The sequence below is a fragment of the Homo sapiens genome, chromosome 7 (assembly GCF_000001405.40).
Source record: "Homo sapiens chromosome 7, GRCh38.p14 Primary Assembly".
Lineage (NCBI taxonomy): Eukaryota > Metazoa > Chordata > Mammalia > Primates > Hominidae > Homo > Homo sapiens.
In genome coordinates, this window is record NC_000007.14 from 48,118,630 (window position 1) to 48,137,119 (window position 18,490).

Here is an 18,490-nt window from a genome sequence, read left to right on the forward strand (position 1 = left end):
TCTATCTCTTTGGAAATCTGTTTCCTGATATAAAGGAGCAAATTGAAGATAATGTAATTGGATACAGGTCAGCCCTTTGATATCACTTGGGCTGCAATCCAGTTCTTTGAGGAATTACAAACAACTGTCCTTGTCTTATAAATTGAGCCTTTACAAAAACAAAAATGTGACTCTGGAAGCAATTCAAAACTCATCCATCCTACTTCCCAACCCTCAAACCTCCTCTATTCACCTGGAGATGCATCAGGTACTGTACAGTCAGGACACTGAAAATGTAGGCATCCTGCATCTAAGAAAAGAGGAAGAAGTTTAAATAGTCATAACCTAAAACTCTGATCATAGGCAAATGTGCTCCAGAACTCTTTGTTTTTGCCTTTTCTTTTTTTTCCCCATACGTTATTGGGGTACAGGTGATGTTTGGTTACATAAGTTCTTTAGTGGTGATTTGTGAGATTATGGTGCAGCCATCACCTGAGCAGTATACATTGTACCCTATGTGTAGTCTTTCAACTCTCGCTCCCCTCCAATCCTTCCCCGCAAGTCCCCAAAGTCTGCTGTATCATTCTTATGCCTTTGTGTCCTCAAAGCTTAGCTCCCACTTATCAGTGAGAACATATGGTGTTGGTTTTTCCATTCCTGCAGAACTCTTTCTTGAAGAAAACTTCCATCTTTTCTCTGTGCCATTGAGGTGTAAATCTTCTACTCTGTCTTCTCTTGGACCAAAAAGCCATCTCTTTGAAACTTCCAGGGAGTTACAAACTTCCAGGAAAATTACTTTCTACCCCCAAACCCAAGGGAAACAAAAGTGGGGTTAGGGGAGGCTATTAAGAAAAAAACTGGCAAATAAAAATTCCTGAAGATTTCTTCCACAAATATTGGTAAGAAACTTTAGCCATCTGAGCAGATTTGTCTCATCTTCCAGAAGCAACTTAAATTCAGCTATTTTTAAAATATAAACTACCGAGCTTTGTGTTATTGTATTGTAAAATTTTAAAACAAAAGCTACATAATCTCTATTTGCATCTGTCTGTTTATATATGTGTGTTTGCATGTTATGTTATGTAGTATGATATTTTTCTACCTTCGGATGATATGAAATTAATATATAAAATCCCTTAAAGGCATTCTATTTAATTAGCTTGAATAAAATAAGTGCTTACATAAATTTAGTATTCCTTTTTTTTTTTTTTTTTTTGAGATGGAGTCTCGCTCTGTATCCCAGGCTGGAGTGCAGTGGCACGATCTCAGGTCACTGCAACCTCTGCCTCCTGGTCCTGGTTCAAGCAATTCTCCTGCCTCAGCCCCCTGAATAGCTGGGATTACAGGCACGTGCCACCTTGCCCAGCTAATTTTTGTATTTTTAGTAGAGACAGGGTTTCACCATGTTGGCCAGGCTGTTCTTGAACTCCTGACCTCATGATCCACCTGCCTTGGCCTCCCAAAGTGCTCACAGGCTTGAGCCACCGTGCCCGGCCAATTAAGTATTCTTAAGACTTTCAGAGGTGTAGAAATGAGTCCAAACGTTTCTTTTTTTAAGTTCACGTAATTTGTGATACTCTTTGGTAAAGAAAGTTTTAAGATTGCTGACAAAATAAAAACACGGTTTCCAGAGCTGTTAGCATTAAACATAATAAAGACATACACTTTTTTCTACCTAGTTTACTAGTCAAACAAACTTATGTTATCTCTATTAGATGTTTAAGATTACAAAGCTATAAATCCAACCTAAGAACAACATTAAGAACAAATTGCTTGATGCATGTTAAGTGTGGCAGTGAGGAAAACAAATAAAGAAGAACCATATATTTGCTGTTGTAATTTCCTTGCTTCTGTGATTTTTTTTTACTACTTGCCTGATATGTCAACAATAAAAAAATTAAATAATTTAGAATGATAGCTACTTTTGTTTAATGTCTCATGAAATTTTCCTGAGCAGTACTGGTGGGAATAGGCCCCCAAAATCTGGCCATAAACTGGCCCCAAAACTGGCCATAAACAAAATCTTTGCAGCACTGTGACATGTTCGTGATGGCCATGATGCCCATGCTGGAAGGTTGTGGGTTTACTGGAATGAGGGCAAGGAATATCTGGCCCACCCAGGGCGGAAAAACGCTTAAAGGCGTTCTTAAACCACAAACAATAACATGAGCGATCTGTGCCTTAAGGACATGCTCCTGCTGCAGATAACTAGCTGGAGCCCATCCCTTTATTTCGGCCCATCCCTTTGTTTCCCATAAGGAATACTTTTAGTTAATCTATAATCTATAGAAACAATGCTTATCACTGGCTTGCTGTCAATAAATACTTGGGTAAATCTCTGTTCGAGGCTCTCAGCTCTGAAGGCTGTGAGACCCCTGATTTCCCACTCCCCACCTCCATATTTCTGTGTGTGTGTCTTTAATTCCTCTAGCGCTGCTGGGTTAGGGTCTCCCCAGCCAAGCTGGTCTCAGCACAGTACAAATATAATTGTTAAGAATAAGTAAATTACATAAATGTAAGTGAGATTAAAAATGTACAAATGAACTATTCAGCAATGATTATGTTTTATAATATGTCTGCCTGAAAACACTTTTCAGTCTTTTGGTAACTTGCAACCTTAAGGTTATGCTAAATTAAATTAAGTCATAGATATTCATTAACTGTCTGGGTCATTCCTAAATAAGATAAGCTATTGAAATGTTAATTACTAAGCAGGAGTAGGCACTTATAAACCTTGTTTTTATGTGATATAAAGTAAATATATTCAAATTTATTAATAAACAAGAAATTGTAATATGAGGAAATAGCAAAGAGCTACAAAAATGTGAGAGGAATCCTTTTTTAAAATTCAATTTAATTTTTAATTTTTTTATTTCAATAGGTTTTGAGAGAACAGGTGGTTGTTGGTTACGTGGATAAATTCTTTGGTGGTGATTTCTGATATTTTAATGCACCTGAGCAGTGTACACTGCACCCAATGTGTAGTCCTTTAAACCTTACCTTCCTCCCATCCTTCCCCACAAGTCCTCAAAGTTTGTTGTGTCATTCTTATGCCTTTGCATCCTCATAGCTTAGCTCCCACTTATAAGTGAGAACATACAATGTTTGGTTTGCCATTCCTGAGTTACTTCACTTAGGATAATAATCTCCAACTCCATCCAGGTTGCTGTAAATGCCATTATTTCATTCCTTTTTATGCCTGAGTAGTATTCCATCGTGTGTGTACGTATGTGTGTGTGTGTATATATATATATATATATATATATATATATATAAAAATATATATATATATATATATATATATATATATATATATATATATATATATAAATACAAATTTTATTTATCCACTTGTTTATTGATGGACATTTGGGCTGGTTCCATATTTTTGCAGTTGCAAATTATGCTGCTATAGACATGTGTGTGCAAGTGTCTTGTTCATATAATGACTTCTTTTTCTTTGGGTATATACCCAGGAGTGGAATTGCTGGATCAAATGGTAGATGTACTTTTAGTTCTTTAAGGAATTTTCACACCGTTTTCCATAGTGGTTGTACTAGTTTACATTCCCGCTAACAGTGTAAAAGTGTTCCCTTTTCACCACATCCATGCTGACATCTATTATTTTTTGATTTTTTGATTATGGCCATTCTTGCAAGAGTAAGGTGATACCGCATAGTGGTTTTCATTTGCATTTCCCCGATAATTAGTGATGATGAGCATTTTCTCATGTTTGTTGGCCATTTGTATATATTCTTTTGAGAATTATCTATTCATGTCCTTAGTCCACTTTTTGATGGTATTGTTTGTTTTTTTCTTGCTGACTTGTTTGAGTTCCTTGACGATTCTGGATATCAGTCCTTTGTCAGATGCATAGTTTGTGAAGATTTTCTCCCAGCCTGTGGGTTGTCTGTTTACACTGCTGATTATTTCTTTTGCTGTGCAGAAGCTTTTTAGTTTAAATAAGGCCCATCTATTTATCTTTGTTTTTGTTCCATTGGCTTTTGGGTTCTTGGTCATGAAGTGTTTGTCTAAGCCAATGTCTGGAAGGGTTTTTCTGATGTTATCTTCTAGAATTGTTACAGTTTCCAGTGTCAGATTTAAGTCTTTGATCCATCTTAAATTGATTTTGGTATAGGGTGAGAGATGAGGATCCAGTTTTATTCTTCCACATGTGGCTTGCCAATTATCCCAGCACTATTTGTTGAATAGGGTGTCCTTTCCCCACTTTATGTTTTTGTTTGCTTTGTCAAAGATCAGTTGGCTATAAGTATTTGGCTTTATTTCTGGGTTATTGATTCTGTTCCACTGGTCTATGCGCCTATTTTTATACCAATACCATGATGTTTTGGTGTCTATAGCATTACAATAGTTTGAAGTCAGGAAATGTGAAGCCTCCAGATTTGTTCTTTTTGCTTAGTCTCGTTTTGGTGGTGTGGGCTCGTTTTTGGTTCCAATGAATTTTAGGATTGTGTTTTCTAGTTCTGTGAAGGATGGTGATGGTATTGTGGTGGGAATTGTATAGAAGCTGTAGATTGCTTTTGGCAGTATGGTAATTTTCACAATATTGATTCTACCCACCCATGAACATGGGATGTGTTTCCATTTGTTTGTGTCATCTATGATTTCTTCCAGCAGTATTTTTTAGTTTTCCTTATAGAGGTCTTCCACCTCCTTGGTAGGTATATCCCTATGTATTTTATTTTATTTTTTGCAGCTATTGTAAAAGGGGTTGAGTTCGTGATTTGATTCTCACCTTGGTCACTGTTGGTATATAGCAGTGCTACTGATTTGTGTGCATAGATTTTGTATCCTGAAGCTTTACTGAATTCATTTATCAGATCTAGGAGCTTTTTGGATGAGTCTTTAAGGTTTTCTAGGTATAAGAACATATCATCGGCAAATAGCAACAGTTTGACTTCCTCTTTATCGATTTGGAGGCCCTTTATTTCTTTCTCTCCTCTGATTGCTCTGGCTAGGACTAGTACTATATTGAGTAGACGTGGTGAAAGTGGGCATCCTTGCTTTGTTCTAGTTCTCAGGGGGAATGTTTTCAATTTTTCCCCATTCAGTACAATGTTGACTGTTGTCATAGATGGCTTTTATTACTTTGCTAAGGGTATTAATCATAAAGCGGTGCTGGATTTTGTCAAATGATTTTTCTGTATCTATTGAGATAAACATGTGATTTTTGTTTCTAATTCTGTTTATGTAGTGTATCACATTTATTGACTTGCATATATTAAACCATTCCTGCATCCCTGGTATGAAACCCACTTGATCCTGGTGGATTATCTTTTTGATATGCTGTTGGATTCGGTTAGCTAGCATTTTTTTTAAGGATTTTTGCATCTAGGTTCATCAGAGATATTGGTCTATAGTGTCCTCTTTTGTTCTGTCCTTTCCTGGTTTTGGTAATAGGGTGATACTGGCTTCATAGGGTGATTTAGGAGGATTCCCTCTTTCTCTATCTTTTGGAATAGTGTCAATAGGATTGGTACCAATTCTTCTTTCGATGTCTGATAGAATTCAACTGTGAATCCATCTGGTCCTAGATTTTTTTATTGGCATTTTTTTCAGTTGTCATTTCAATCTTTCTGCTTTTTATTGGTCTGTTCAGGGTTTGTTTCTTCCTGGTTTAATCTAGGAGGGTTGTATATTTCCAGGAATTTATACATCTTCTCTGGGTTTTCTAGTTTTTGTGTGTAAAGGTGTTCATAGTCGCCTTGAATGATCTTTGTATTTCTGTGGTATGGGTTGTAATATCTCCCATTTCATTTCTAATTAAGCTTATTTGGACCTTCTCTCTCTCTTCTTTTCTTGGTTAATCTTGCTAATGAACCCTCAATTTTGCTTATCTTTTCAAAGAACCAGCTTTTTGTTTCATTTATCTTTTTTATTTCAATTTCATTTAGTTGTGATCTGATTTTTGTTATTTCTTTTGTTCTGCTGGTTTTGGGTTTGGTTTGTTTTTGTTTCTCTAGTTCCTTGAGGTATGACCTTAGATCATCTATTTGTGCTGTTTCAGACTTTTTGATGTAAGCGTTTAATGCTCTGAACTTTCCTCTTAGCACCACTTTTGCTGTATCCCAGAAGTTTTGATAGGTTGTGTCACTATTATTGTTCAGTTCAAAGCATATTTTAATTTACAACTTGATTTCATTGTTGACCCAGTGATCATTCAGGAGCAGATTATTTAATTTCCATGTATTTGCATGGTTTCGAGGATTCCTTTTGGAGTTGATTTCCAATTTTATTCCACTTTGGTGTGAAAGAGTACTTGATATAATTTTGATTTTCTTAAATTTATTGAGACTTGTTTTGTGGCCTGTCATATAAATGGTCTATCTTGGAGAATGTTCCATGTGCTGATGAATAAAATGTATATTCTGCAGTTGTTGAGTAGAATATTCTACTGTAAAAGAGTCCATTTATTCTAGGTTATAGTTTCAGTCCATTGTTTCACTTTCTGTCTTGATGACCAGTCTAGTGCTGTCAGTGGAGTATTGAAGTCCCCCACTATTATTGTTTGCTGTGTGTCTCATTTCTTAGGTCTAGTAGTAATTGTTTTATAAATTTTGGTGGTCCAGTGTTATGTGCATATATATTTAGGATTGTGACATTTTCCTTTTAGACTAGTCCTTTTATCATTATATAATATCCTTCTTTGTCTTTTTTAACTGTTGTGGCTTTGAAGTCTCTTTTGTCTGTTATAATAGCTACTCCTACTCCCTTTTGGTGTCCATTTGCATGGAATATATTTTCATACCCCTTTACCTTAAGTTTATGTCAGTTCTTATGTGTTTGGTGAGTCTCTTGAAGATAGCAGATACTTGGTTGGTGAATTCTTATCCATTCTGCCATTCTGTATCTTTTAAGTGGAACATTTAGGCCATTTACATTCAATGTTACTATTGAGATGTGAGGTACTATTCTATTCATCATGCTAGTTGTGGCCTAAATATCTTTTTTTTTTCTCATTGTATTATTGTTTTATAGGCCCTGTGAGATTTATGTTCTGAGGAGGTTCTATTTTGGTATATTTTGAGGTTTTGCTTCAAGATTAGAACTCCTTTTAGCAGTTCTTGTAGTGCTGGCATGATAGTGGCAAATTCTCTCAGCATTTGTTTGTCTGAAAAAGACTATCTTTCCTTCATTTATGAAGCTTAGTTTTGCTGAATACAAAATTCTTGGCTGATAATTGTTTTGTTTAGGGATGCTAAAAATATGACCCTAATCCCTTCTAGTTTGTAAGGTTTCTGCTGAGAAATCTGCTGCTAATCTGATAGGTTTTACTTTGTAGGTTACCTGATGCTTTTGTGTCACAGTTCTTAAGATTTTTTCTTGCATCTTGACATTAGTTAACCTGATAACTATGTGCCTAGGTGAATGATCTTTTTGTGATGAATTTCCCAGGTGTTCTTTGAGCTTCTTGTATTTGGATATCTAGATCTCTAGCAAGGCCAGGGAAGTTTTCCTCGATTATTCCCTCAAATAAGTTTACCAGACTTACTTAGCTCTTTTCTTTTCTTTTCTTTTCTTTTCTTTTCTTTCTCTCTCTCTCTCTCTTCCTTCTCTTTCTTTCTTTCCTTTCTTTCTTCTCTTTCTCTGTTTCTCCCTTCCTTCCTTCCTTTCTCTCTCTCTTTCTTTCCTTCCTCACTTCCTTCTTCTCTCTTTCGCTCTCTCTTTCTTTCTTTCTCTTTCTCTCTCTTTTCTTTCTCTCTCTGTCTCTCTCTCTCTCTCCCTGTCTCTCTCTCTCTCTTTCTTTCTTTCACATCTCACTCAGTGGCCCAGGCTGGAGTGCAGAGGCATGATCTCAGCTCACTACCACCTCCACCTCCCAGGTTCAAATAATTCTCATGGCTCAGCCTCCTGAGTGGCTGGGATTACAGGGGCCTGCCACCATGCCTGGCTAATTTTTATATTTTTAGTAGAGACAGTGTTTTGCCACGTTGGCCAGGCTGGTTTCAACCTCTTGACCTCATGTGATCTGCCTACCTCAGCCTCCCATACTTAAATTTTCCTTCTTCCTTGGGAACACCAATTATTCTTAGGTTTGATCATTTAACATAATCCCAAAAACTTCTTGAAGGCTTTTTTCATTTTTTAAAATTCCTTTTTCATTGTCTTTGTCAGATTGGGTTAATTAGAAAGCCTTGTCTTAAATCTCTGATGTTCTTTCTTCTACTTGTTCAATGCTATTGTTAAAACTTTCTAGTATATTTTGCATTGCTCTAAGTATGTCTTTCATTATCGGAAGTTGTGATTTTTTTTAAATTTATGCTATCTATTTCTCTGAAGACTTTTTTCATCCATATACTTTATTATTTTTAAATTTCTTTAAGTTGATTTTCACTTTTCTCTAGTGCCTCCTTAAGTAGCTTAATAATCAACCTCCTGAACTCTTTTTCTGGCAATTCAGAGATTTCTTCTTGGTTTGGATCCATTATTGGTGAGCTAGTATGATCTTTTGGGGGTGTTAAAGAACCTTGTTTTGTAATATTACCAGAGTTGTTTTTCTGGTTCCTTCTCATTTGGGTAGAGTATGTCAGAGGCAAAATCTGGGGCTCAAGCGCTGCTGTTCAGATGTTTTGTCCCACAGGGTGCTCCCTTGATGTAGTGCTTCTCCCCTTCCCTAGGGATGGGGCTTCCTGAGAGCTGGACTGCAGTGATTATTATTGCTCTTCTGGAGGTAGCCACCTAGAGAAGCTACCAGGCTCCAGGCTGGTACTGGGGAGTATTTGCAAAGAGTCCTGTGGTGTGATTCATCTTCAGCTCTCTCAGCTGTAGATACCAGCACCTGCTCCAGTGGAGGTAGCAGGGGAGTGAAGTGGACTCTGTAAGGGTCCTTGGTTGTAGTTTTGTTTAGTGTGCTGGGTTTCTCGAATGCTGGTTGTGCTAGCAGTGAAGTTGTCATATGGACAGACTCAGGACCTCTGGTTTTCCAGGATGTTGCAGGTGGTGGAATTAGCTTCCTTTTGGTTGTTTTCTCCTTTCTTGGAGCAGGAAAAAATAATTTTATTCTGAAGGAGAATGACTGGTTGTTCTAGAATAGGAAAGCAGATAAAAACCGGACAAAAACTGAGAGGATATAAAAAATAAAAAATGTTGTAGAAAATTTTCAAAAAAGGAGTTTGTGTGGTTGAGCTGCTAAGATTGAGTGGATTTATCTATGAGTTAAAAAATGATAAGTCTTAGGGTCAAAAGGGTACTAATATAAAATTAAAATGGCAATGTTTTTTCAGATTGTTAGTCTGCTCTTAATAAATTGTGAAAGGTTTTTTTTTGTCTCTGAGTAATCTCCCTAGAAAACAAATATTTTTGTGTTTTATTAAAAATAATTTTCTGTGCTTCTTGTCTTTATCAGGTCTTTAATTACCTAAGGAAGCTGACTCTTCTCAATATTAAAAAAAGCTAGCTTTTGTTCTCACCTATGTAACCTTGTATATTTGCCTTTACAGTATTTTATTATCACTTTATTTAAACAGATAGCTAAGTATTATATAATAATAATCTGAGATTATATCCTAGGATCTGTGATCCTAATTAAGTATTAAAACCTTTTGATTTTTTTTACATCTCAAAATCAAATTCTAAATGTGGCCTTTTTTTTTTTTTTTTTCTTACCTTGAACTAACTTTGATCTTTTCTTGGGGGCTCCTGGAAAAACTTAAAATTTTTTTTGCTCTTACAAAAAGATATATGTTAAACTACTTAGGCTTACTTGGTAGTTAAGTTACATGGAAAACATTGCCAAATAAGATGTGATGTTGAATTTTCTTTAAGTTATATTTGTATAGATATGTAGTATTAATATAAGTGTTTCAGAAATTCTGTGAGGTCAACAAAAATTTGTCAATACCCTAGCTGTTTATGACAGTCAACCATAATGTTATCAGGTGACTGATAAGGACCTCTCTGATGGCTCATAGAACCTCCTTCTGCAATAAACATACACCTGGAGTGAGCTGATAAAGAGAAGATGAGGCTTCCTCAGGTTTTGAATTTTATAATGATCTAAATGGAGAACCTTTGTTAAAAATCTGTGACTTTAATTTAATAAAAATAAAGTGTCCAAACAGTCTCTTAAAATCTTTTGTGTAATGATTGCTTGTGGGACTCTGGAAGTATTGTTTTAAATTGCCTATGTTGTGAATATATTGTTATCCTGGATTCTTTCTCCCACATCCCTAAGCTGACATCTTCATAGTCAAGCTTGAACTTGACCATGAAGAAGCAAGGAAAAATGAATATTCTCTCCAGCCCCTTTCTAGATTGTCTAATGGTCATTGGTTTCTAAATGACTTTGAATACCACTGCTGGTAGGAAAACTCTTACATTTAAACAGGTTTCTCCACTGCAGAACTTGTTAGTAGAACTTTTCATCTGCGCAATTGAAATAGAAATTGGGACCTACCACTGATGACTAATTAACAGCTGTATCCAAATAGGTTGGTGTGAACTTGGAGGAAGGTCATTAAGACATTTGTGTGAAAAAAAATCTGAATGTCTGAGGCTAGCTTAATGCAAAAACTGGTAAAAGCAAATGCACTCATAGATTCCCAGAGCTCTACTGTTAGTGTGCAAAATGTAAACTGTTACTTTTTAAGTGTGTACAATTGTGAAGGTGAGAGATTCAGAGCTAGATCATATCTCCGGGTATGAAGCTTGCAGATGACCAAGACAGAATGTGATCCTTCTTCAACCTGAGGGAGATATTGAGTAGAGGGGAGGCAGGTTGGATGTATTTTTCCAGATTCAAAACAGAAAAGATTCTGGTATCCAGCATATTTTGGTTCAGGGTAGAACTTTAATAACAGGAAGGAATGTTCTTTTCTTGACATCCACTTCTTTCTTCTTCCCTTTGTTGCGGAGACTTTGGTAAACAATCCAAAGAGGTAAACTGTATCAGCCCAGTGATATATCAATGAACACCTTCCAGAGGTCAATAATATTATCAAGATAAAAAATGTTTGTCTTGAATTTTTGATTTTCTTTGAAGAATCTGAAGAAATAAAATATCTTCCAGAGATTCTGTCAAAAATCTGGGAGTGAGTCTCTGAACCCTAGGGGTCTCACACTGTTATCGACAATAGGTTGGATCTGAGATCCTGGCAGGACGATAAGGTCCTAGGGAGAAGAAGAGGGATATGAGAAATAGGGAGCATAAACTTTAAATAATAAAGTTCAGAAAATATGATTAAACATTGAGATTATCCAAGCAGAAAGCTTGAGGATGGCCACTTGGGAACACCAATTCCAAACCAATGGAATCAGCATTCCAAAGTGGAGAAGTTACGGTTTCACATATGGATTAGTCCATTTTCACACTGCTGATAGAGACATACCTGAGACCGCACAATTTACAAAAGAAAGAGGTTTAATTGGACTTACAGTTACATGTAGCTGGGGAAGCCTCACAAAATCACGGCTGAAGGCAAGGAGGAGCAAGTCACATCATATGTAAATGGCAGCAGGCAAAGAGAGAGATTGTGCAGGGTAATTCCCATTTTTAAAACCATCAGATCTCGTGAGACCCATTCACTATCACGAGAACAGAATGGGAAAGACCTGCCCCCATCATCTCCCACCCGGTCCCTCCCACAACATGTGGGAATTATGCCTACTTATGTAGGCAGAGACAGAGAAATTTTACACTTTCCATACAAGACCAGTGCATAGTTACAAAGATTTGATTGGTTACAAATTGCTACATTCCAAGGAAGATTATTACTCGGTGAGGAGGGATAGTGATCTGAGGGAGTCTTATCTCTGGTGCTGTCTGGTCTTCCTAATTATTTACAGGAAGAAAATGCAGCAGACTGTATAGACATACCCCCTTAAGGGTCAGAATAATTTAACGTTACGACAGCTTTAAGTACAATTATTTAATTTCACATTTTCCCCTTTTCATTAAGATCTTTCAAAGAAAGTCTTGTAGATAAACTCAAATGGTTTGGGCTCCTTTTGGTTCAGGAGTTTAATCCCACATCACTAGGAAGGCTAATTCTTAGAGTGTCATGTCTCACAGAAGAAGGAGTTTGTCAGGCTCTAAAGCTGATGGGGTATAGGCTGAATTTAAAGCAACATAAAGGAAGTGGCTTTGAGACCTGAGTCAGGCTGCATGGCTACAACTTCAATTAATGCAATTCTTTGAATGACAATTATTTTAGTTTTTTTCAGTTGTGCATTGACTACATTGTGAAAGAATGCCTCAGCAGCAGTAAAGACAAAACAAAACAAAGGATTATAGTTTTGAGAACAAGTAACCACCAAATTCTGCAAGATCCAAACCAGCTGCTCAGCCAATCTTTTAGAGAGGATATTGGATCTGAAAGGGTAGTTTTTTAAGCTTTCATATTGGTGATTAAGTTAGTGATGATCTGACTCATCTGGGGTACAGACATAACACTCAGTTTTTATGACAGCACAGGTTTCTCCTTGGGCTGCAGTGAGTATGTCTGCAGCCCTTCTCATAAGAGCAATGCCATTGTTTAATAACGAGATAACCATGCAGCTATCATTTAGGGCCTCATTTTATATAGTTGGTTAGGGCCTCTACATGCCAAATGGCATACTCAATACACAGTTGGGCAGAAAGATGGAAGCTAAATGATCATACTGATGGGATACAGAACAAACCCATTGATATTATAAATGAGGAAGATTTGCAGGCCTTGAAGGAATATGAACTGCTCAACCTTGTGCCCAGGCATAACCCAAAGAACACCGTCCTAACCATCCTAGGGGTAAATGTGACCACAGATTGGTGCCACACAGCCAAGATACAGCCATTTAGAGCTAGCCAGTAAATACCCACTCTCTGTGCCCATTCAGGGGCATGTCAATCAGTACTGTGTGATATACTGATGTGGTTAGACATTTCCTTGGTTATCCATCACATATCTCTAGTGCTATTGAGCCATGTATCTTTGGTGTGATTCTTTCATTCCCAACTTAAATCTGACCAAAAGAGGAGGTAAGCCAGCTAAAACAGTTCCGAATTTGTATTATATCATCCCCAAATTCAGTTGCTTTATCTCTCAGTTGGGTCAGTGCCAGCATTAAAGCTAATAAATTGGTCTCTTTTACTGAAATGCTCTTCCCATGTGCTTTGCTTTGTATAGTATTATTAACAGGCCAGTGACGCACGTCATCCTTTGTCATGCTAGTATGAAGCAGTGATCACTGTTCTTGAGAAACATGGATATATTTCTGACATTCTATCTAATCTTGTCTTTGGAAAGGAGATATCCACCATGGCAGGCAGAACCACTGGAGAAGGGCATGAGGCCACATACCCAACAAGTGTTTTTCTGTAATCTGCTAGCATGGTCCTGAGCCCACTGAAAGAAGAGGTTTGCTATGGGCAATAACTGTTGATAGTGGCAAGAAAGCCCAAGAACTAGGGACATAAAAACAAAAAAAGAAATTTAGTGGGAACTTCAAAGAAAGATATTCTCCATCTACTAACAATTATTAATGTTTAGCATTTATATAGATACAGGATTAGTCCAGTGTCTTAGGAAAGCTGTTTATCTCAGATGTTGTCTTTTTCTCATTCTTGTTGGTTCTGGAGAATTTTTTTAGATCACCAGTTTGAGACAAAGTTCAAATTGGTGAAGTGGCTTTCTTTTTTTCTTCTTCTTCTTCTTTTTTTTTTTTTTGAGATGGAGTTTCGCTCTTGTTGCCCAGGCTGGGGTGCAATGGTGCGATCTTGCCTCACCGCAACCTCTGCCTCCCGGATTCAAGCAATTCTCCTGCCTCAGTCTCCTGAATAGCTGGGATTACAGGCATGTGCTACCACGCCCAGCTAATTTTTTTGTATTTTTTAGTAGAGACGGGGTTTCTCCATGATAATCAGGCTGGTCTCGAATTCCTGACCTCAGGTGATCCACCCACCTCAGCCTCCCAAAATACTGGGATTACAGGCGTGAGCCACCGTGCCCGGTCAAAGTGGCTTTCTTTAAATGGGTGACATGAGTCAATTCCTTTTAGCTTAGTGGCATGAGGATTGGTTGGGAGCACCTGATAATTCCCTTTCATCTTGGCTGGAGGAAGTCTTTTAAAAGATCTTATTTCCAACAGACAAAATCTCCTGGTTGAAGTCCATGGTCCTAGAATTTTTCATCCTACAGGAGGTCACTGTGGAAAGAGTCTTTTACTAAATTATAGTTTCTAGTTGGCTGCCTTATAAAGCTGTTGCAATTATTCAACATATTCTTTTAATACCATAGATTCACAGTTTTCTGGAAATAATTTCATAGGTCTGCCTGTTATAATTTCAAATGGAGACAGTTGGTATTTACCAAAAGGGGTTGAGTTTAGGCAAAGTAAAACCAATGGAAAAGGTTTCAGACAAGGAATTCTACAAAGCTCAGCAAATTTTTGCCAATTGAGTTTTGATTATTCTATTTGTGTTGAGAGTTAAACTCTGACCTTTTTTCTTCTGTTGTCCAAATTCCTACCTAAAAGGTTTGGGGAGTCATGCACTACACACCATAAAGTCTCCTCAGAAGGGCTTATTTAACATAGCCTGCTTTCCATCCTGACTCTGGCATAACATTACATGACAGATAATGAAAGAAATCAAAATATTTTAACTCCAAATGTATTTCCTTGCCATATTTTGAAATTATCCTGCAAAGTCATCTCTTGAAAAACCTATGTTCTGTAGAGAATCCCCTTTTCCTTTCCAGGCATTTTTCCTGATCCAGGAGAGAATCAGCTAAGAGTCTGGCACCTTTTTAAGTCTGATAAGAATCATTTACAATCTATTGTCTTTGAAACCCACTACCTGGGGGATTCATTTGCATAATAAGAACCTTGGTCGGCTGGCCACAGTGGCTCACTTTGGGAGGCTGAGGTGGGTGGATCACCTGATGTCAGGAGTTCAAGACCAGTCTGACCAATATGGTGAAACCCCATCTCTACTAAAAATACAAAAATTAGATGGGCGTGGTGGCACACGCCTGTGATCCCAGCTACTTGGGAGGCTGAGACAGGAGAATCACTTAAACCTGGGAGGCTGAGGTTGCAGTGAGCCGAGATTGAACCACTGCACTCCAGCATGGGTGACAGAGTAAGACTCCATCTGAAAAAAAAAAAAAAAGGAAACTTGGTCTCCACAACCCCTTATCTTAACCCAGACATTTCCTTTCGATTGGTCCTAGGTTTTTCAATAAAGTCTTTTAACCAATTGCTAATCAGAAAATATTTAAATCTACCAATAACCTGGAAGCCCCGCACACCCACCTTGAGTGGTCCCGCCTTTTTGGACCAAAGAAATGTACATCTTAAATGTATTTGATTGAAGTCTCATGTCTCCTAAAAATGTATAAAAACTAAGCTGCACCCCAACTGTTAATGGTGGAGGGTCTCCAGGTACTTGACATCTTGAACAAAGAATTGGACAAAATGCACAAACAAATCAAGAAAGGAATGAAGGGTTTTATTGAAAATGAAAGTACAGTCCACAGTGTGGGAGCAGGCCTGAGCATAGGGGCTCAAAGGCCCTGTTACAAAATTTTGGGGAGTTTCAATATCCTTTGCTTTGGGTATGCCCTATGTAAATGAAGAGGATGAAGTAAAGTTACAAAGTCATTTACTTGGACTACACTCTATGGAGAGGCTATTTCCTGTCACAGCTGAAGTGTGAATCGGCCTTATGTTCACTGCCTCCAGACCCTATTTTCCTGCCTCATCTCCCCACCGAGAGATGTGATGAACCCAAAGCCCAAGGTCCTGAAGTTTTGTTGTAGTGTGGATGGCAAGGAAACTCTCCAATGTTCTCAGAAGATCCAAACCATAAAAAGCCTTTTTACCTGGTGAAAATACACTGCAGCATAATAATCTACTGTTATAACATCAGCCATCTTGCATGAGAAAGCTTTACAACCAGAAAACATGCATTGAAAATAACAATCAAATGAAATCCCTTTATAACGTTTAAATGGCCTACCAGGTATTTTCTTTTCTTTTTTCTTTTTTTTTTTAGACAGAGTCTTGCTCTGTCGCCCAGGCTGGAGTGCAGTGGCACCATCTCGGCTCACTGCAAACTGCACCTCTGGGTTCAAGCAATTCTCCTGTCTCAGCCTCCCAAGTAGCTGGGATTACAGGCATCTACCACCATGCCTGGCTAATTTTTGTATTTTTAGTAGAGAGGGGGTTTCACCATGTTAGCCAGGCTGGTCTTGAACTCTTGACCTCAAGTGATCTGCCCGCCTTGGCCTCCCAAAGAGCTGGAATCACAGACATGGGTCACCATGCCTGACAAAATGTACGTGAAGCTTTAATTGTTTTCCCAGGAATATGGGGTCAAGCATTGGTTATAAACTATTTTAAACAATTTCAGTGTCAGCTGGCTTAACATGAAAATCTGACAAAGTATTTTCTTGGTATTTAATTAATTTTTGGGTTAGTAGCTTTATACAAGGAAATTTGGTTATTTCTGTGGTTTACAATAACATAATAACCATAATTATAATTGATAGCATATACTATTTTAGAAATCCCATATAAGTTTGGAACATATGTTAGATTATTCACAAAAATATAACCTAAAGAAGATTGAACACCATTTTGGCAATCCCATGTACCTAAACATGTCAAATAATCCTGTTTACCTCTTCTCTGTATGTTTTCAGGGCCCTCTGATCCATCCAGAAAGCCAGGCATTAGGAGAGACAATTTTGAAACTGAAGTTTTATTTTGGAACTCCATATTACCATAAATCATTTATTTTGCCAAAATGATGACTCAGAAATTATAAAGAAGCAAAAACCTTTTATAACCTTTTACAAAAAGGGCACATTCTCCTGTTTTTACATGCCTTGTATGTGAAACTGTTTGTAGTAGTCTTAAATGCATGTTACAGTGGTAACTCTTAGCAATTTTCACTTTAGTGTAAAACCTAGTAAGTTATGTTCTGATAAGGTTTGACTATTTCCAGCATAGCTGGGGCATGGCCAACCCCACATGTTCCTAGGCCTCACCTAGCTGGAAAGCAGGTGAGTTAAACAATTTTCAAAAGCAAAAAAAGCAGCCTATGACCTTAAAGCATATAGCAAACCTAACATTTCAACATAATTTAGACCACATGTTTACATTTTGAAGACAATTGTATTTTACCAATAATCTTTAAAACCCTCTTTTTTTTTTTTTTTTTTAAGACAGAGTCTCGCTTTGTAGCCCAGGTTGGAGTGCAGTGGCATGATCTCAGCTCACTGCAAGCTCTGCCTCCTGGGTTCACACCATTCTCCTGCCTCAGCCTCATGCGTAGCTGGGACTACAGGCGCCCACCACCACGCCCAGCTAATTTTTTGTATTTTTACTAGAGACGGGGTTTCACCATGTTAGCCAGGATGGTCTCGATCTCCTGACCTCGTGATCCACCCGCCTTGGCCTCCCAAAGTGCTGGGATTACAGGCGTGAGCCACTGCACTCAGCCCTAAAACCATCTTTATTTCCCAAAGATTGCTAAAGTCATGTAAGCTAAAAGGCATTACATTTTCTACATTTCTGACAAAATATTTGATTTAAGCTCTTATTGTTATTAAACCAATTAATTTAAAAGTTTACAGAGGGGATAAACAGTGACTTTTTCTTTATATTTAATCAGTTTACACAGACAGAAAGAGGCCAGAAACTGACTGGTGAGAAATTCTCACCCTTTTGCTGGCATGCCAGGTTTCTGGGTTCTCTCTCCCTAAGCAGCCCTGGCAGCCCTGGCAGCCCTGCTTGACTGTATGCAAAAAAACACATTGTCATGAATTAAGAATATTCACAAATAGTTTACAAATGTTGGAGAAATTAGGCAGAGGGAGAAATATGACTCAAATTCTATTTATGAAAGTATACTCAGCCCATTTAAAGTATCAAGAAGCCTAAAATCCAAAAAGTTAGTTTATAGCTGGTGTGCTCCATCAATTCCTGCAGCTTGACAAAAGTAGCTTATAAATTCCAGGTAAATGAAGTGAATGATGACTTGCTGGAAATGCCAAGGAAACAAAATAACTATTCATAGAACCAAATAAAAGCCTTCTACTAGAAACTAAAAAGCATCAGGGTTTTATATATATGGATACACAAGCAAAGCCAGAGGAGAATAACCAGCAAATGAATGAAAACTAGAAGCAAAAACAAATAAACAGAAAACCAATCCTAAATTTTCCTACTTAATTTACCCTGGAGGCTACAGTGTTACCTAGGGCCCCCCAAAACCCACATAATGAATATTTTATTCCTGATACACAATTCAATACCCTTAAATTCACCAATATCATTATACTTCCGTGCAATCAAGAAGATGGATTACTTGAGGTCAAGAGTTTGAGACCAGCTTGGCCAACATGGTGAAACCTAGTACCACTAACAATACAAAAATTAGCTGGGCATGGTGATATGTGCCTGTAGTCTCAGCTACTTGGGAGGCTGAGGCAGGAGAATCGCTTGAACCCGGGAGGTGGAGGTTGCAGTTAGCCGAGATCGAGCCACTGCACTCCAGCCCGGG

At 37.7% G+C, this 18,490-nt stretch overlaps 1 annotated feature.

Annotated features, from left to right (window-relative positions):
* Window positions 14,445-15,052: an enhancer, noted in NCBI's record as "OCT4-NANOG hESC enhancer chr7:48172671-48173278 (GRCh37/hg19 assembly coordinates)". NCBI's record gives its function as "activates a minimal SCP1, AML or CMV promoter by ChIP-STARR-seq in primed H9 embryonic stem cells {active_cell/tissue: H9 hESC(primed)}" and the evidence as "EXISTENCE:reporter gene assay evidence [ECO:0000049][PMID:30033119]".